This window comes from Homo sapiens, chromosome 1 (assembly GCF_000001405.40).
Source record: "Homo sapiens chromosome 1, GRCh38.p14 Primary Assembly".
Lineage (NCBI taxonomy): Eukaryota > Metazoa > Chordata > Mammalia > Primates > Hominidae > Homo > Homo sapiens.
In genome coordinates, this window is record NC_000001.11 from 38,448,162 (window position 1) to 38,468,504 (window position 20,343).

Sequence of the window (20,343 nt, forward strand, 5' to 3'; positions counted from 1 at the left end):
CCTGAGACTGTAATATTTAAAGGATGCAATTAAAAATGGGCAAAAGATTTGACAAGGAATTTACAGAAAAATGCAAATGGCCAAGAAATATAAAAAGATGTTCAAATTCACCTGTATTTAAGAAAATGGAAATTAAAACACTAAAATGCCATTTGTCACCCAGCAGATAGTAAAAAAAAATGCAAAATATTTATATTTAGCATCTAAAAGCTGGTGAAGGTGTGAGGAAACAGGCATTCCTATACTTCACTGATGAGCTATATCCCCACATCCTATCTGGAAAGTAATCTGCTAGTAACTATAAGAATTAAGCATATTATATCCTTTGGCCCAGAAATCACACATTTGTGACTCTTTCCTACAGAAACTAAAACATCACTATAAAAAGATGTGTGTATGAAGATTACGGACCGGAAGACAACAGGGAAAGATTTGAATAAATGTATAGAACATTATGAAGCCATTTAAACGAAAGATATATGTGAATTGGCATGGAGGAATGCCCATAATATATTATTAAGTTAAGAAAGGTAATTGTGTATGTGCAATGAGAGCACATTTAAATATTAGTAGAAAACCCCTTTATGTATGAATATATAAATGAATATGTTAGTGTGAACACAAAGAAAGACATTGGAAGATGCAAACAAAACAAAACATTGCTTACACAAGGAGGTGCTGGGGAGAGGAGGACACTGGAGAAGAAGAATGGGGAAAACATCACCCTTTACCTTACATGCTTCTGCATTTTGATTTTGTAATGTGAAAGGATTACGGCTCATCATAAAGGAACAGGAGAAGGGATGTAGAAATTCCGAGCAGGAGATTCCTTCTCCATGGAGAAGGTGGCTGGGCAGGACTTGAAAGAATGAGTGGACTCAGGACCTCCCCACATTGAGGGCGGGAGAAATCAGTCCTGAGCCTCGAAATGAGAACTCCGCATTTTAGGCCATGGCTGAGCGTACACAAGTGCAGGGAAGCTGGGTGGGGAACACTCTCAGTCCCGGCTGGGCTGGGCTTAATCCCAGATAGAAAATGAATGATTGTCCAACGACCAGCCCTGGGGGCTATGGAGACAAGGACGAGCAAAGCCATGGTCATCCTGAACTTACTAAAGACCACGTAGTGAGTGGGTTTTAACTTCAGAATTCCTGGCCAGCTGAATTCTCCACCCAGCAGCCCTTCAGAGGGAGTCTTTTCTGCATCCCCCATTGATGCTGGAGGATAGGAGAAAAGAAAATCACAAAGCCAGTTGGAAAACCTTCCTACTTTGTCTTTAGTATTAAAGAAATGCAAAGGTGATGAATTAGGCAAATTGGTTGATGTCAAGTTGTATCCATCAGAATGATTCAGAGCCCAGAATGAGTAATAGTAATGGGGAATAGCTGTTACTAAGAGTAACCAAATTAGCATTATCGAAAAAGACAAAGGAAAAGCAGGCAGCCAGCAGGCACTCTGTCCCTGAGCCTGCCCCTCAGTTTCCACAGCCCAGCTTCTGCATGGAGCCCACCCTAACTGGGGGGCGGCTTCTTGCCTAAAGCATTCCCTGTGGACTTGGAGCTTTAACAAGATCAAAGAATATTCACATCCATTTTCTTATTTGATCACATTCTTAGCAGGCCAGTGACATTGGCTCCATTTCACAGCTAGGGATCCGAAGCTCAGAGAAGTGAAAAGGTCTGCCCAGTGTCATGGTCACATAGCTGGTAAGTAACAAAAACCTAGCTTTCAACTCAGGACTCGTGAATCTTAATCCAGGACTTAAGTGCCTGTACTTTCTACAGAACGTCCATTTAAAAAAAGAAAAAAAAAAAAGGACCTACTTTTTTTCTTTAGCCATTCATTAGCAGTCAAAAGTAGGAGCTAGGTGGATGCGTGGAGAGGGGAAAGGGAAGAATATGAAAGAACTCTACAGGAGGATCACAGCTCCACAAAACCTCCCAGTGGGCCCGGACCAAGGTGCCTGGGTCTGCTGGACATGTTTAGGATGCTTGACCTCTGCCGGCCTTTTGAGCTCAAGAAGTCTTGCTTTGTGCCAAGTGACCCCACCACATTCCGTTACAGCCAATTGGCCTAAGGCAGCCCCTGAACCATCAAGGGCAGCTGGTCCACAGGTCAGCCACAAAAGATGACCAGGACCAGATCCCCTCTGTATCAAGAATTTGAACAGGGCTGGGCGTGGTGGCTCACGCCTGTAATCCCAGCACTTTGAGAGGCTGAGGCCAGCCAATCACGTGAAATCAGGAGTTCAAGACCATCCTGGCTAACACGGTGAAACCCTGTCTCTATTAAAAATACACAAAATTAGCTGGGCATGGTGGTGGGCACCTGTAGTCCCAGCTACTTGGGAGGCTGAGGCAGGAGAATTGCTAGAACCCAGGAGGCAGAGGCTGCAGTGAGCCGAGATCGTGCCACTACACTCTGGCCTAGGTGGCAGAGTGAAATTCCATCTTGGGGGAAAAGAAAAAAAAAGAATTTGAACAAGAAACAAAGAGAGAGGCTGCCATTGCTAGCAGGAACATGGTGCACAGCTGGGTGTGTTCACTTCCTGGGGCAGCCAGGACACATGAGCACACATTGGGTGCCTTAGAACAAGACAAACATCTTCTCTCATAGTTCTGGAGGCTGGAAGTTCAAAACCAAGGTGCAGTGGGGCTGTGCTCCCTCTGAAGGCCCTAGGGAAGACGCTTTCCTTGCCTCCTGGCCTCTGGAGTCTGCTGGCAATGCTTGGTGTTCCTTGGCTTGTGACAGCATCATTCCATTACCTGCCTCCAGCCTCATGTGACCATCTTCCCTCTGTGTCTTTTCATATAAGGACACCAGTGATAGGATTTAGGGGCCACGCAAATGCAGTATGACCTCATTTTAGATTGATTAACTCTGCCAAGACCCTATGTCTGAATAAGTTGATATTCATAGGTACTGAGAGTAAGGACTTCAACATATCTTTCTGGAAACACAATTCAAGCCACAACCCTGGGCCACAATAGTACAGTAGAGAAGGCCCACGGACAGCTGCCTCTGAGGCCCCCAGATCTCCCTTCAACTTAAAACTCCCTGCAGCTCCGGCCTCAGGGAAGCTGAGCTGTCAGCCACGGGTCCCTAGGAGAGCCCTACTTTTGAATCCCCAGGTACCGCTGAGGGTCTCCTTCCAATGCTCCCCGTGCTTCTTTCTGATGGTTTGACAGGGGTTATTCCTTGCAAACAAAACAGACCAAAAATAAAGCTAAGTTTAATGTTTATTTTTCTGCCATAAATTTGCTTAATTCTATAATTTAAAAGCACTAAGATGCTTCAGAGGCTCCTTTTGTTGGAAAGTAGAATATTTCTCCCATGTGCTGGCCCAGCCTAGTCACTGGGATTTTTTTTTTTTTTTTTTTTTTTTTTGCTGAAACAGCCACCTCCTGTCACCAGGATAAACAGAGACACCCCAAGGAAACCTGAATTAGAATCACTGGTGCATTCCTAAGAGGACCTTGGTTAGACCCCAAAGAAATCAGACTAGGACACAACATTCTTTTAGCAAGCTATGAAAAAGCTGCCTCCAGAGAGGCCAGCCTGCCTGAGTCATCACTGTGTGGGAAGGACTGGAGCCAGCTGTCCCGCTGGCGGGGGTCTGAATTTCTCTGCAAAGTCACACTTCAAGAGAGTCACACAGTCCCAAGTTGACAGCTGAGGTGGGAATGGCAGCTCTACTCTTTCACCCTTCCCTCTCCTCCCTAGTCATCCTCCATCCTTTCAGGCTGAGAGCTCTCCCATGCCAATCCACACACTCCTCTATTCATGGTGAAATGCTCCCCTCCCCCAGGCAGGGGCCCTAGAGACGGTGCTGGTTGTAAATATCCTGACTGTGTGCAAGGAGAGGAGACAGGAGGTCCTTGCACTCTGAAATGATCAGCTTCCATGACTGTAATTATATAAATTACATCTAAAATTTCCTATAAATTCCATATGTAATCCTACAAATTCAGTGTGTTTCTATCAAGAAGATTGGTATATTTGTGTGAGAGAGAGTGTGTGTAGAGAGGATTAGAGAGAGGATAGGGGGATCCAGTGGTTTAGAGGCTCACGAAAACCCTCTATCTGGCCCCTCCCTGACTTCATGAAGCCCTTACAGACTCACTGAGCAAGCAACCCCTACATCCTGGAAAAATTTCAGATCCAATGCTACGGCAATCACTGCCTATTCCCCTTGTATGACATGAGCTCTGTACTTCTGTGGGCAAAACATACAAATCACAGTGCTTCCCCTTTACAAGTGAAGCACGCACAAGGAGCACAGGGAAGTCTGGAAAGCGGGTGGGGCTGGGGGTTGTCAAGCCTGATTCCTGATCCTTCCATGTACTTTTAGGACCCTGCTAACCCTCAGTGTGCCCTCGGCATCTCTGCCCCCCTTTAGGAGGTCTCATCCTGACCTCAGGGAGGAGGAACTTCAACTCTAGCCAATTCTTGGCTAGATGGAATTCTTTGTGATGCAGCACCAACATCGCCATGTTAGTCAGACCTTGACTTTGTTTCCCAGTTTCTGGCTGAGCTGATGCCCTGCTCCCTCGGCTTTCGGGGTTTTTTTTGTTTGTTTGTTTTTCTGGAGTCCTATCTACTACCACAAAACTCTTAGACTGGAGTCCAGCTTGTTTTTTTGTGCGTGTTGCTTTGTTATTGTTTTTTGAGATGGAGTCTCTCTCTGTTACCAAGGCTGGGTGCAATGGTGCGATCTTGGCTCACTGCAACCTCCGCCTACTGGGTTCAAGCAATTCTGTCTCAGCCTCCAAGTAGCTGGGACTACAGGCGCCCGCCACCACGCTGGATAATTTTTGTATTTTTAGTAGAGACGGGGTTTCACCATATTGGCCAGGCTCTTCTCGAACTCCTGACCTTGTGATCACTCACCTCGGCCTCCCAAAGTGCTGTGATCACAGGCGTGAGCCACCGCGCCCGGCCGAGTCCAGCTTGTTTTTACCACGCTACTCTGTCTCCCAGGGACTGTGGTCCCAGGTTAATTCAGATCAGAGGCTGAGACTTTGACAGCTGCCATAGCCCTCTCTTCCACCTGCAGAGTGTATCAGGCAGGGTGAAGGGGAGGGGTGGCTACTCAGGTTCTCCCTCCTTGCCCTTCTCCATCTGCCAGTCCCTCTACGGTGACCCAGCATATGCCCTGCTGTATTCCAAGACAAAACAGATTTCACAATATGTGGCCGGCACAAAGGTGAGTTGTCCTTGCTACTGTCTCAGGCCTTTCCCTCAAGATAATCCAGCCCTGAACACTCAGCAAACAACTGGTTGTCAGAATGTTTCCCAGGGTGGGAATGACCAGAGAACCCCATGCTGTTAGTCCAAGGTTTCTGGACCTAGAAGGGCCCTTAAAATCAGCCAGCCGGATACACCATTTTACAGATGAGAAAACAGAGGTCCCCAACTCTAGACCAAGAAGAAGGTAAGATCAGCGGCAGACACATATTCATCAACTGCATGCGTCGAGGGCTACTGTAGACCGAGCATTACAGATACAGCCTCTGCTTTTGGAGGCACAGTGTCCAGAGTAGGACAGAGCAGACACACAAGTGCAATCCACCAAGGAAGTGCTGTGATGGGGATGATTTGGAGACACGCTGTCCAGAGGAGGACAGAGCAGACACGCGGGTTCAATCCAACAGGGAAGTGCTGGGATAGGGATGGCACATGATGGACATGAGAGCCAGAACACAGGCTTCCAACCCCGAGGAGCAGGGAAGGTTGACTGGGGGCCAAGAAAATGTGGTCTGCATCCTCAAGACAATATTTGCTCAGCATAAGGTGCGAATCTAGTGTTTTTCACCTTTTCATTTCCAGTGCTAAACCAAAGACATCTATGGTGGCAGACTGAACCAGAGAATTCGTTATGAAAACTGCATGTTGCATGGTCTGAGCTTGATGGCTTATAAATGGGAAACAACCACTGCCTTCAAACATGCTCCTCCCTGCCCCGCCATGCCATCTTGGGGAGAACTCAGAGCTTTCTTCTCACTTGCAGTCATGAGAATGTTCTCTGTTGAGGTAGTTAAAACTTACTTCCATGTATTAAAAAGGCCAAAGTATCCAAATAAAAATTGCCCAAATTGAAACTTCTGTCTTGCATATGATTCAAAGCCACTTCACTTTGCCAGGCTCAGGACTCATCCCTGGGGCTGAGAAGGGGGTGTGGCCTACTGGACCAGGAGAAGGAGGCGTGGCCTACTGGACCAGGAGAAGAGGGCATGGCCTACTGGACAAGGAGAAGGGGGCATGGCCTACTGGACAAGGAAAGGGGGCGTGGCCTATTGGACAAGGAGAAAGGGATGTGGTCTATTGGACAAGGAGAAAGGGATGTGGTCTACTGGACAAGGAGAAAGGGATGTGGCCTACTGACATAGAGAAGAGGATGTGGCCTACGGGACATAGAGAACGGGGTGTCGCCTACTGACAGAGAAGGGAGTGTGGCCTACTGGACATAGAGAAGGGGGTGTGGCTTACTGGACATAGAGAAGGGGGTGTGGCCTACTCTTTCCTTGCTTTTCCCTTTTTTATCCTCATCCCACTGCTGTTCTTGGCTACTCTAGAATAGAGGCAAGAGAAGTAGGGATTATAAGGAAAGAGTGAGTCTTATCTTTAACTAGTCCTACAGTCCTCTCTTGGCCAATGCTGGTTAGCATTAATGCTCTTAATGTGACAGGCCTTCAAATGCTGGCTCTCTCACTGGGAAGTTTCTACTGGGACGTCCACCCTCCATGGTCTCCTGATATGAGCAATGTGCCCTCTGGCTGACCTCTTGCAACTTTCCTCTTACCCCAGGATCTGCACTAAAGGAGTCCTCCTGCCTGGAAGGTGGAACGTCCTCACCACCTAGAACTGCCTAAACCGAGCTGTCCTCCATAGCAACCACTTCCCTCCTGAGATACTCACGTGCCTTTGCCATGCTCCACAGTGACATACAGGCTGCTCATCTGCTGTCCTACCTTTGCCCTCACAATTGCAAATGACTCCAATTACTACTTGCCTTCAGAATTCCCCAGTCACCAGTTTCTATATTCACGTGCCAAGGAACGCATGCCAAGCTCTCCAAGCACTCTCCCACTCTGCTTCACTCCCGGCCATCACTGGGTAGGCTTGGAAGCTTCTGCAGCTCAGCAGTTGTCCAGTTGAAGAGTGAGATGCCTGTCTGCACTTGTGCAGGCATTTCACGCTCTGAGCGGCCCTCTTGGAAACCTGTTACTTGGCTTGGGGAATGAGGATACCCACTCCTCTTATTTTCACCATGGGGCAGGAAAGGAAAAGGCACAGCTCTCCTTATCAAGCCAATGGCTCATATACCTCTCAATTTCTGCCTTCAATCTACTCTCTAGTTCTTCTGTCTATATGGACTGAGGATGGGCAACAGGGAAAAGACGGGTCAGTTTGGCTCATTTTCTGGAAGCCCCAGAGAGTTTATCTGGTAGCAACTGTTTCCATCTATTTCCATCCAATATTCCTGCTATTTCAAGATAGGAGGAAAGTCATGTTAACATCCTATTTCACTCAAATCATTGCTTTCACTGATGAGGGTAACTGGTGTAATCCCTAGACTTTAGAAATCATGTAGCCCATCTCCCTGCTGTGGCAGAGAGGAGAGCCTGGGGTCCAGAAAGGGGAAGATTGGCTTAGCAGCCCAGGGACAACCCCCAGAAACCCTGACCTGAGACTTATGCGCCATCCCCTGCTTTTCCCTTGATTGTCTCCACCAGACCAGTGTGAATCATCTCACCGGAAACCGTGTTCAGCACAGTCCTTTGCTTACTGAAAGTCAAGGCTTCTGGAAAAGCCGAGGCTGAAGCTGTGGTGCTGACTAGGGGCTGGGGGCGGGGAGTGGATCCCTGGCTCCAGGAAAGGGAGCAAAAAGCTAATGCCAGGCAGGTCAGGAGCCCTAAAGGGGAAATGTGACAGTAATTAAGGAGGAAGCTGGCCTTCTCATCCTGGGTCATGACCACTCCCTATAGTCTCTGTCGAGGTCACTTGAAGCGGAAGATTGTATCCGGCCAGACATTGGAGGCACAAGCTCAGCAAAGTGTTCAGGACAGCTTTATTTAATTCCCTGTCCATATGGAAATGCCCTGCACTGAACGGTTTGGAAGCCACAATTGCATTAGCCGTCTGGAGCTCCCATAAGCTTAATCAAGCCATAATCAAGGATCTTCTGTGATTGTCCATTATCTGCCTCTCAGCCAGAGAGGCACGTTCTTGAGGGAAAGTGATCAGAGAGCTGCGTTCTTGGCACTAATTACATGCTAGCCTGCATCTGTGTCCCTCCCGCGGCCGTCAGGAGCCATTGTGGATGGCCCCGGGACATCTCACCCACTTCTGTGCAGGTGACCCTGAGCAGGCTCAGCCCCCAGAATAGAGTCCATGCTGATCAGTCTGAATACGGCTTCCCAGGCAGACGAGGTCTTGCCAGTTCAAATGTGACTGCATGTTTTACATTGAAAGCACCCTGGGGTGCTTAGGAAGGGGCTACTGCTGGGTCAGCAGATAATTCACCACAGGAGCCCAGAGAACATCTGGAGATGCAGCAAAAACAGCCAGATGGGCACCTCTTGAGATCAGCAAGGATAGAGAGGAAGCAAGCATTAGAAGCATCAACCACCCCTGCCAAACAAAAGGGCATCATTGTTTGCATAAGCCCTGCCACTGTCTGGCTTCTGCTGATTTCTAGCAATGTTCTCTCATTCCCCACATCATGTGTCCTCAGCTCCAGCTGAATTGGGCTCCTCTGGCCCCACATGCTCCCACCTCTCTACCCAGTCCTTGCTGCCCGATTGTTCACTTGCCCTCAACATGGCATGTCCAAACATTATTTGGACCTCATTTCTGGGTCCAACCTCCAATGCCAGGGCTGCTACAAAGCCTTCCATGTTCACCCAAGTGAGATGTGGCCTCTCCCTTCACTTAAGTCCCCAGCAACATCTCTTCTGGTGCTTCTCAGTTTGGGCTGCAGTGGTTGTGTTCAGTGGACTGAGAACTCCTCAAGAGCAGGAGCTGCCTCCAGCTTCATGTTTCCTTTAAGAAATGTAAAAAATCACACAAAAGTTTGGTCAGTTGTGGTGGCTCACGCCTGTCATCCCAGCTCTTTGGGAGGCTGAGCAAGAGGATCTCTTAGGGCCAGCAGTTGGAGGTCACAGTGATGTTTATGCCACTGCAATCCAGCCTGGGTAATGCAGCAAGACTCTGTCTCAAAAAAACAAACAAACAACACACATACACGCACACACACAAACAGAGAATGACAAAACCATCACATGTGTCCCTTCAACCAGAACAAATTATCATTAAATTTGTACCACACTTGCTTCATTTAAAAAACAAAAACCAGAAAACATGACAGATAAAGTTGATGTCACCTTAGCATAGGTATTAAGAGAATATAAAGCTAATAAATGGCTCTGGAGCCAGATTGCCTGGGTTCAAATCCCCATTCTGCCACTCGTTAGAAAGTTGACCATGGACAAATTACTCAACCTTTCTATGCCTCAGTTTCCACTTCTGTAAAAACTGTGGAATGTTGTCACGAAGATTCAACGAGTTAGTGTATGTAAAACTCATAGAACAGCACCTGCCTATAAGTATTCAATAAATGCGAGCTATTATTTAATCTTCCATCCCTAAACCTATTTCTCAATGCACCCCTCCCAACCCCCAACAGAGGCAACCATATCATGAGTTGAGTATATATGTGCTTTCAGTTCAAGCTTTGCACTTTTACTTCCAAATGTATATAACCACAAAAAAAAAAAAACTATAGTATTTTTTGTATATGTTCCTTAATTTATCTAAATAATGTATTGGTTAGTATCCTTTGGTTGTAAATACTGAAAGCCCACCTCTACCTGGCTTAAACTTTGAGGAAGATTAACTAGCTTCCATACCTGAAAAGTTTAGTGGCAAGGAAGACTTCAGGGTTGACCTGATTTATCAGCTCAAAAATGTCATCAAGGACCCACTTTCTTTTGACACTTGGCTCATCTTTCCACGGTGTCAGCTTTATCCTAGAGCTAGCTCCTCCTCATGGTTATAAAAGGCTACCAATGACTCCTGGGACTGCAGGCCTTGCTGGGAGAGAGGGGGTCATTCAGGAAGTGCTCTGAGAAAAGTGAGGAAGCTGCTTCTCCAGAAGCGTCAAGAAACTTCTCACTTCTCATGGCCTAAAGTGGTTTATGCACCTCTGAACCAGATATTATGACCATGGATTGAGATTCTATTGATAAGCCTTGGACTCAGACATGTGCCCCCTGTAAGGGGAGGGTAGAGACAGCCTCTCTAAAGGCACACAGGCTGCACAGGTTGATGTGGACATCTGCACAAAATTATAGCAAGAGAATGGGGAATGGATGCTGAAGAGGCAACAAGATCCTCTACAAATGGTATCATAAAACTTACATTGTTCTTCCTCCTGCTTTTCTCATTTAATGTTTTGGCTTCCTTTTGAGATCTTTCTGTTTGGTATATAGACATCTAGTTTATTCCTCTTAAAAATGAATAATATTCTATCATATGAATAAAACCACATTTCTTTGTCCATTTCCCTACTGATAGATATTTTTATTGTTTCCGTGTTGACTTTTTTTTCGTATTGCAAACAGGGGTGCAATGAACAATGGTATTCGTGTCTTCTTAGAGACTGTCTCAGTCATCTTTGTGTTTGCCTCTAATTCCTGCAGTGGCCAAGCCCACGGGTGGGCTCAGCAGGTACCTGTTGCATGAATGAGTGAATGAGTCAATGAGTAAATGAATAAATTCTCTTTTTTCCCAGCTATGAGCTATTGAAATGATCATTGCATGATGCTGGTTATGGAACCTATAATGCTAGCATTCAAATGGTGCCTTTACTTTCCTAGAGGGGCAAATGAAGACTCAGAGAGGGAAAGTTGGAAGTCACATCATGAGTCTGCAGCACAACCAGAATTTGAACCCAAGTTCACTGACTCCAGAAAGCTCTTCTTTCTACTCCATTGTATCCTTTACTGCTCTGGACCACTCATGTCACTCATTTAACCAAATTCTTTTGCTCCTCTAATTTGTTCCACAAATTCACCTGTGAGTTATCTGCAGCCTTGCATGTGCTTCTCTCCCTGACCAGTGGATGGGCTCCCCATGGGCAGGGCTCAGGTCTGATGCTTCTCTGTTAGCCAAGACCAGGACAGACTCCAAATGCATCCCAGGCTCTCCTCATATAGGCCCCTCCTGAAGGACAATGGCCCAGGGTCCAAGAACCTCTGGCAGGAGGAGCCATCAAAGATTTTCTAACCCAATTTCCCAGCAAGAACCACTATCACACATCTTCTGGCTCCTTCTTGGATAAGTGGTAAGCCAGTCCCAACTTCCTTTGGTGGCCACTGTGTTTTGGACAGTTCTGCCTGAAAGCCTCACCCACCTCAAACACCTACCCATTGCTATTCCCCTGCCTTCTGGAACCACTAAGAATAAAGCCACTCTTTCCAATACTGGAGGGAGCCCAAGTGTGCTTTCCCTCAGGGGAAAAAAAAAAATTTCCAATTACCAAATCCAACCTGTGCAAAACGGTTTTATGTGTGTGTGCATGTGCACACACATACACAAACACGCACACCCTCAGCTGTCCTCTCCTACCCACTTTGGTTTGACTGTGCTCCTAGGACCTCCTTCCCACTACCTGAGCAGCTGGCACTTTTTGGGTATCAGCCTAATCATCACTTCCTTTGGGGAGTCTTCCTTGAACTCCAAAATCTGAGGTCTGGGTTAGGTGCTTTGCTTTTTTTTTTTTTTTTTAATGGAGTCTTGCTTTGTTGCCCAGGCTAGAGTGCAGTGGTATGATCTCGGCTCACTGCAACCTCCGTCTCTCAGGTTCAAGTGATTCTCATGCCTCAGCCTCTCAAGTAGCTGGAATTACAGGCATGTGCCACCACTCCCAGCTAATTTTTGTATTTTCAGTAGAGACGGGGTTTCACCATGCTGGCCAGGCTGGTCTGGAACTCCTGACCTCAAGTGATCCTCCTGCCTCGGCCTCCCAAAGTGCTGGGATTACAGGCATGAGCCACCGCACCCAGTCTGAGTTAGGTGTTCTTGTAGGTGCCCTTGTTCTACCCTGCAGTTCCCTAACCCAGCAGTCACCACCCCAGAGTGCATGGTCAGTATTGTCGTGTGTACCTAACAAGTCTGGGAGCTCCTTGAGGGGAAGGATAACGCCTGTTATGTCCACTGCTTTATTTCCGAAGCCCAGCATACTGTCTGGCCTCTTACAGGCACTGTATGCATAGTTATGAAACAAGGAGTAAAAGAATTTCACAATAGAAGAGAAAGTGAAAGAATGAAAAAAGAAAAAAAAGAAAAATGTTTAAGTGCAGGTAGAGAAAAAGAATAAAAAAGGAAAAGGAAAAAATACGGTTTGATTTGTGAAAGATCAAGAGGTTCATTCCTTCCCTTTCCCCAACCTCAGTATGTCTCTCCTCAGAGCCTGAAATGCCCATCGCTCCAGGCATTTCACAGTCTCTTATCCTGCCAGCTGCTTGTGAACTTGCAGGCAACTCACATCCTGAGACCCTCATTGAGCAGCTGGTCTCTTCACTTGCTGTTGGGAAAGCCAAGGCAAGAGCAAGACAAAGAGCTGGGGTGGGAGGGACGTGATGCTATACCAGGTCCACAGGAGGCCACAAGATAAAATGGAATGTTGACCTGGAACACTGAGTTTACTTGAAGATGTATCCAGGAAGTATGGGGAACAATATAAGACCTCTTTTAATATTAAAATAAAGTTGGATACATTATAAAGTAGTTTGCAAAATCTGGGTTCCTTTTAAAGATAAAGCACAAGCCCTAAAGGAAATTTTATTGTTGTATAAGAAAGAAGCATCATTCATTCATTCATTCCCTCTTTCAATGGAATTCTTCTGTGCCAGGGACTGTTCCAGGCTCTAAAACTACAATAGCGAAAAAAAAATTTCCTTCATGGAGCTTACATTTTAGGATGGGAGATACACAACAAATAAAATAAATAAGTCAGATGTATGATAAATTAGGTGGTGATAAGTGACATGGAGAAAAATAAACCAGAGAAGCAAGGGGAATAGGAATTTTGGCAGAAATGTGTGAATGAGTGTACATGGAGAGAGGGCTGTGATTTTAAATACAGTGGTCAGCGTGGGCCTCCTGAGAAGGTGACACATGGAAAAGACCCAGTGGAGATGTGAAGAAAACATAGAAGTCATAGGAGTAAGCTACAAGGGAAGAGGAAGTTTGGGATAAGAGTGGAGATAGAGAAGAGGTCAGCTTAAATCTGTTCAGTGTAAGAGGCCTAGGGGAAATCCAGGTGAGATCCAGAGAAAGTTTTTTAAAAAATATTGAGCTCAGGAAACAACTCTAGATTGAGTTTGAGATGGAATTGTATAGTTGTCAACAGAGAGAAGATAAGTCACAAAGACAAGAGTGGGAGAGCCCTCTAAAAGAATCGGGGGCATGGGTTGAAAAGCGGCACCCCATGGACCAGGTTTGGCCCATGCGTATGTTTTGTTTGGTCTAAGAACTGGCTGGAATATGGAGGTTAAGAGCTTAGGTTCTGAAGTCAGACTACCTGGATTCCAGATCCTGCTCAATATTTACTAAATATGTGAATTAAGCAGGTTACTTACTTAATTCCTCAGTGCCTCAGTTTCTTTGTCTATAAAAATAGTACATATCACATAGAGTAATTGTAAAGAATAAGTTGGTAAATTACATAAAGTAGTTAGAAAAGTCTCTAGCTGCTATGGTTTTAATGACTTTATTCCCTCCAAAAATTCATGCTGAATCTTAATCCCCAGTGCAACAGCATTGACAGGTAGGGAATTTTGGCTTTATAAAAGGGCTTAACAAAGGGAGTTTCTCCCTCTTCCCTTCCATCTTCTGCCTAGTAAGGATACAACATTACATTCCTCTTCTATGGAGAATGTAACACCAAGGTGCCATCTTGGAAGCAGCCCTCACTAGCACCTTGATCTTGGACTTCTCAGTCTCCAGAACTATGAGAAATAAATTTCTGTTTTTGTAAATTACCCACTATCAGGTACTCTGTTATAGCAGCACAAAACAGTAACTCTACAAATGTCAGTTGCTGCTATTATGGTTAGGATTTTGAATGTGATTATTAGACGTTTACCTTGGAACAAATGCTTTCCAGGTTACCCAGTCCCTGTGGGACAATTTTGTTTATTTAAATGACTTGCCTGATCCTGATCAGCATCTGAGCTTGTGACCACTGGTGAGAAAAGAGAACAAGGACAGAAATTGGGAGCTGACTATAATTTAGGAGACCAAAGACATAAGCCTAATTTTGACATTTGGACCTTTAATCCATTTAGAAATGTATTGATATATGGTGTGAGTCTGGGATTCAACTTTTTTTTTTTTCAAATATCAAGCCAGTGACATTAATAGCACATACTGAATCACCCATGTTTCCTCACTGCTTTTAAAGATCACTTTTATAATATCCTCATTTTTATATAGTTGAGTCCATAGCTAGATTTTCTATTCAGTTTCATTGATCTGTTTACGGGCTCCTGCAACAGTAGTACAACTCCATGAGATTGTTATTTTATAACTGTCATTGTATTTATGGTGTTAGAATAGTGCCTGGCACATAGTAGGCACTCAGATATTCATTGAAATGGTGAATAAATAAATGAATATATTATTGCACTTTTGAAATTTAAAAAAATATTTGGCCAGGAAAGTCTCCCTTTTCTTATTCAACTTTTATAAAACACTCAGGGCTAGACTCATGACTTTATTCCTCCAAGGGAACCAAGTGTTATAAGGCTGGCAGATGTCAGGAGAATCAATCAGCAGAAGGTGAGGCTGGAGAGACAGCAGGAGGCATGCCATAAAGGGGCTTGTGCCCAAGCCAATGAGATCAAATTTCACTCTGTAAGCCATAGGCAATGTTGAAGGGTTGTGGGTGGGAGAGAAATTGTCAGATAGATGATTTCAGGAGATCTCTCTGTGGGCCCTAGGGTGGGTGATTGTAGGGGGACAAGACTAGGGATGCTGCAGCTCTAGGCTAGGAGGAAAAAATGAACTTGAGAGCTACCTAGCAGGTGGAATCAACAGGTTATGGAACCTAATCTCATTTGGGTGCTGGATGTAAGATAAAAGGAGATGAGATTGACCTCCAGTTACCTGGCTTGAGTAGCTGAAGGAAGAATGGTGCCCCATACTTGATAGGGTCTAGAGAAGGAGATCTGGGTTTGTGGGGGAAATGCAGTTTGTTGTGGACTTGGTAAGTCTGAGGCACCCATGGGTCTTGTTTAGAATGCAGTTAGTTCTGGAGTAAGATGAGAGATACAGAGAAAAAGGCTTTCAGGCCAATAGAGGTTAAAATCACAGGTATGGATGAGGTGGCCAGGACAACGTGTTGTTCAAAGATAAACTGTATAGAGTCTATTTTCAAAAAATGTTTATTAAATGTTCACTATGAACAGGACATTGAGCTAAGTGCTTTATATTCATCGTGCCATTTAATTCTCATAGCAATTATTGTTACCCTTATTTTCGTGATCAAGAAACCGAAACTTTAAAAGTTTAAATAATTTTTCCAAAGTCTCGCCATTGATAAGAAGTGGGTCTGGGCTGGGCATGGTGGCTCACACCTGTAATCCTAGCACTTTGGGAGGCTGAGGTGAGTGCATCACTTGAGTCCAGGAGTTTGAGATCAGCCTGGGTAACATGGAAAACATGGTCTCTACAAAAAATACAAAAATTAGCCATGTGTGGTGGCACATGCCTGTAGTCCCAGCTACTTGGGAGGCTGAGGCAGGAGAATCTTTTGAGCTCAGGATGCAGAGGTTGCAGTGAGCCAAGACCACACCATTGCACTCCAGCCTGGGTGACAGAACAAGACCCTGTCTCAAAAAAAAAAAAAAACAAAAAAGCAAACAAACAAACAAACAAAAAACAAAAAGCAAAAAAGAAAAGTGGGTCTGTTTCAACACAATGTTCACACTCTTAACCCCTGGAGTCCATTCTTCCAAAGACCGTATCCCCAAAGACCTACTCTGAACCCTGTTCCTGGCCTCCAGCTGCTATTTGTCTTGGCCCGCAGCAATGGATTAATTTCATACGTTCAGAGGTGAACTCCCAGCCCAGGGGAAGCTACTGTGCACACACACATACTTTTTTAAAACAATTAGAGACTCACAGTCTCAAAACGCCCCAAAAGTTCCTGTATCATCCAAATTAACTCTCAGGGCTCTGTTCAGGAAGTTCTTATTAGCTCTCTGCCTCCTCAGCCTGAAGCAAGTAGAACCTCTGAGGGCATGCAGGCCACAACAGCTGGACGCTGGTGGGAAGGGAACAGATACTCCAGTGCGTAACCCTTCTCTCCCAGTGACTCGCAGCTGCCTGCCTCAGAAATTTTACACAATCACCCAGGAGCATGCAACCTGCTCTCTTCTGCATGATAGTTAATAGATGCAAATCCATGATTAATATTTTCCTCCACTGATTCTGATTTCATTCTGTTAGTGATTATACTGATGGCAACAGTTGAGGGGATTAAAAATCCTGTTTAATTCGCGTTAGTTTTTTTTTTTTTTAACTTTGCTGATAAATGTTAAATGTCAAGTGCTTTGGTGTCTTCCACAAGATGCAGAGGCCAAATGAGGAGGCCAACAGAAGTAGCAGGAGCTCAGAAACAGCTCAGAGAAAGTCGTAACTTAACCAGATGACCCATATTCCACATAGCTAATGAAAACAGAGCACATAAGCTTGCCCAGTGGCTCCCGAGGTCCTAATATCAACTGCATCTTTTCCATTTAATGATCCTCAATAATGAAGGCACTGGGGAAACCTTGCAATTTAAAGAAATGCCTTAGGGAGCCCTGTTGTAAGGCAAATACTTGGCCCTTGGTTGATCTCTTTGTAAGTCTAGTGTGCATTTTTAAGCCTGAGAAAAGCAATACAGATATATAGCATCCACAGTTTTCTCACTTCTATACCCCTTCCTTCCCACCCCAAATCCTATTTTCTATCCCTCAATACACAGGGAAAGCTCCTTGAGAAGCCAGGTCAGCCGAATCCCTTACACACTTCCAAATTCCCCACTCTGTAGGTGGTGGTATTGAGGGTGGAAATGGCAAATGGGAACCTGAGAAATTAGGACTTTTGTTTGTGTTTTTTAGTTTGCCCACGAATCCAGGGTACTGCTCCTATCAATCTCCTAGAGAAAAGATGAGTTAGGAGGAACGCATGCTCAGAAATTCAGCCTTGGTGGGAGTGGGAGTGGGGAGAGTGGATCTGAATGAGTGAAATGCCAATTCACTTTCCCTGCCTCCTGCGTGGCCCCCTCCTCCTGCCTCTGGCCCAGCCCTGCTAGTTTGCCAACTCATTCTCTGTATCCATGGCTTGGGGGGGACACAGGCAGCCAGTCACTAATGACACAGCCAGTTGAAGGGTGAAGTGATTCCACCAGTTGTCACTAACAAAGCTCTGAGGCTAAAATCCAGGTCATCAGGTCTTTACCCCTCCCCAGGGTTGAGGATCTCCCCTTTCCCCACACACCAGGAGCGCTTTGTCTGTAGCTCTCCCTCCCCGACCCCAGTATTAGCATGGATTTCTTTTCTTCGTATTTAGTATCACAATTAATTGTATACAGCATCTGGCCTGTATGGAGAGTCCCTAGAGCAAAAAAGTGTGCTTGTTCCTCTTGTCCCTGATTTCTTTTTTTTTTCTTTTTTTTTTTTTTTTGAGACAACATCTTGCTCTGTCACCAGGCTGGAGTGCAGTGTCGTGATCTCTGTTCACTGAAACCTCCGCCTCCCGAGTTCAGGCAATTCTCCTGCCTCAGCCTCCTGAGTAGCTGGGACTACAGGCACCCACCACCACGCCCGGCTAATTTTTGTATTTTTAGTAGAGACGGGGCTTCACTCTGTTGGACGGGGTGGTCTCGATCTACTGACCTTGTGAACCGCCCACCTCAGCCTCCCAAAATGCTGGGGTTACAGGCGTGAGCCACCATGCCCGGCCTCTTGTCCCTAATTTCTGTGCAACCCCATCATCGTCTTTTGTCATTTGGACTTTTTGCAGTGCACAACACAATCACCTGAATAGATTAAACAAACAAATATGATCAGACTTCATCCCAAGCAAGAATCTCCCCTGGTCAGACTAGGCACCATTCTTGCCGACACCTCCCAAGGTGATTCTGATGTAACCTCTAGATTAAGAACTTCTGCCATAGGAGTTTGTTGTGCTCAGAAAAGGGGAGAGAAGAGGGAGACACAGAGGTAAAAAAGAAGATGCATAAATTAACTAGATTGGAGTTACTCCATCTCTGCTTGGTCCTGACTTTAACTCATGTAGCTGTCCTTGATCAGGTACAAGATTTGCTTCCTCTCTTGCCCCTTGATCACCTGTTCTCTACAAAGCTCAGAGAATGCCTTTTAAGACACAAATTGGGAGTATGTCATTGCCCTGCTTAAACCCACGCAGTGGTTTCCATTCTACTTAGAATAAAATATTCCTGACCACAGCATGCAGAGCTCCTCTTAGCTCATGCCTGCCTGTGTCTTCAACTTCTTTGCATGTCTCTGGCTCCCTTTTCCTACTATGCTCCAACCACACCAGCCTTGTCATTGTGGAATCTGCTGTTCCTTATGATCCTAGAGAATTTGTCTTAGAAGATTCTGCCCCGGTTATTCCCAAACATTGGTTCCTTCTTTTTATTTATTTATTTTTTATTTGAGACAGGGTCTATTTCTGTCTCCCAGGCTGGAGTGCAGTGGTGCAATCTCGGCTCACTGCAACCTCCACTTCCTGGGTTCAGGCAATTCTCATGCCTCAGCCTCCCAAGTAACTGGGATTACAGGTGCGTGACACCACACCTGGCTAATTTTTGTATTTTCAGTAGAGACGGGGTTTCACCATGTTGGCCAGGCTGCTCTCCAACTCCTGACCTCGGGTGATCCACCTGCCTCGGCCTCCCAAAGTGCTGGGATTACAGACATGAGCCACCGCACCCAGCCGGTTCCTTCTTGTATTTCCCATATCAGGCCAAATGTCACCTTCTCAAATAGACCCTCCTTGACCTACTAAGCTAAAGTAGCAAGCTCCTCACTCATACTGTCACATGACCCTGCTTTACTGCCTCCACAGTACTTCTCACTATCTGAAATTATCTTATTCATTTACCTGTTACTTGTCTATTACTATCTGCCTCCCACCTGCTAAAAGGCAAGCTCTGGAGATCAGAGATCTTATTTGTCATGTCCATTGTTCTATTCTATTTGGTGCGTTGCAATGCCTGGCACATGGTAGGGGCTCAATAAAATGTTTGTTAAATGAATGATTTATGTCATTCTTATTGGTGAATGTGCTCTACTTTCTAATAATTCATTCAATAATAGTTCTAGGAACTTGTAGCAAAGAGTAGAAATTTTTCATATTTAAATTGCAAAAGCGAAGAAATGTAATTTTACTAATTTCAAGGATATGCTTTGTTAACCAAAATTTCTAAGTAGAAGTTCTAACTGCGTTACTTTAATTAGTAGACAAACCTATCTATAATTAGTACATCAATTATATGCAAATGAAACTGCCAATATCCTTGAATATGTTTTGTCCCCTTAAGCAGTTGCAACATTCTCCACCTTCACCATGTAATTTTGTTTACAAGACTATTTTGTTTACTAGTCTCTTAATTCATAAATAGTGTAAAAAATAAACATCAGTCTTGTACCAGCTGAATTATCACACATCCCAAATCACTGGAAACCCAGTTATTAAGTGGTGGAATCATCTCTGAATATGACAAGTGTAGATAGATTAGAGTAGTCACAAGCCTGAACTAGACTTGGGAAACATAAAGCTGTTTGGGGGCCATTATTTTATTCTTCCAATACCTTCTTTATTTACTTTTATTCACTTATTTATTTATTTATTTATTTTTGAGACGGAGTCTCACTCTGTCACCCAGGCTGGAGTGCAATGGCACAATCTTGGCTCACTGCAACCTCTGCCTCCCAGATTCAAGTAATTCTCCTGTCTCAGCCTCCCAAGTAGCTGGATTATAGGCGCACACCACCATGCCCAACTAATTTTTGTATTTTTAGTAGAGATGGGTTTTCGCCATGTTAGCCAGGCTGGTCTTGAACTCCTGACCTCAGGTGATCCACCAGTCTCGGCCTCCCAAAATGCTGGGATTACAGGTGTGAGCCACCGCGCCCGGCCCTAATTTTTGTATTTTTATTAGAGACAGGATTTCACCATGTTGGCCAGGCTGGTCTCGATCTCCTGACCTCAAGTAATCCACCTGCCCGGCCTCCCAAAATGCTGGGATTACAGTTGTGAGCC

At 45.1% G+C, this 20,343-nt stretch overlaps 1 long non-coding RNA gene across 1 annotated transcript in view, besides 1 other annotated feature; it reads right to left on the reverse strand.

Annotated features, from left to right (window-relative positions):
* LOC105378657 (uncharacterized) overlaps positions 1–20,343 on the reverse strand; it is a 203,343-nt gene that overhangs the window by 147,964 nt on the left and 35,036 nt on the right. The window lies entirely within an intron of this gene.
* Positions 4,386–4,887: an enhancer, noted in NCBI's record as "H3K4me1 hESC enhancer chr1:38918219-38918720 (GRCh37/hg19 assembly coordinates)". NCBI's record gives its function as "activates a minimal SCP1, AML or CMV promoter by ChIP-STARR-seq in primed H9 embryonic stem cells {active_cell/tissue: H9 hESC(primed)}" and the evidence as "EXISTENCE:reporter gene assay evidence [ECO:0000049][PMID:30033119]".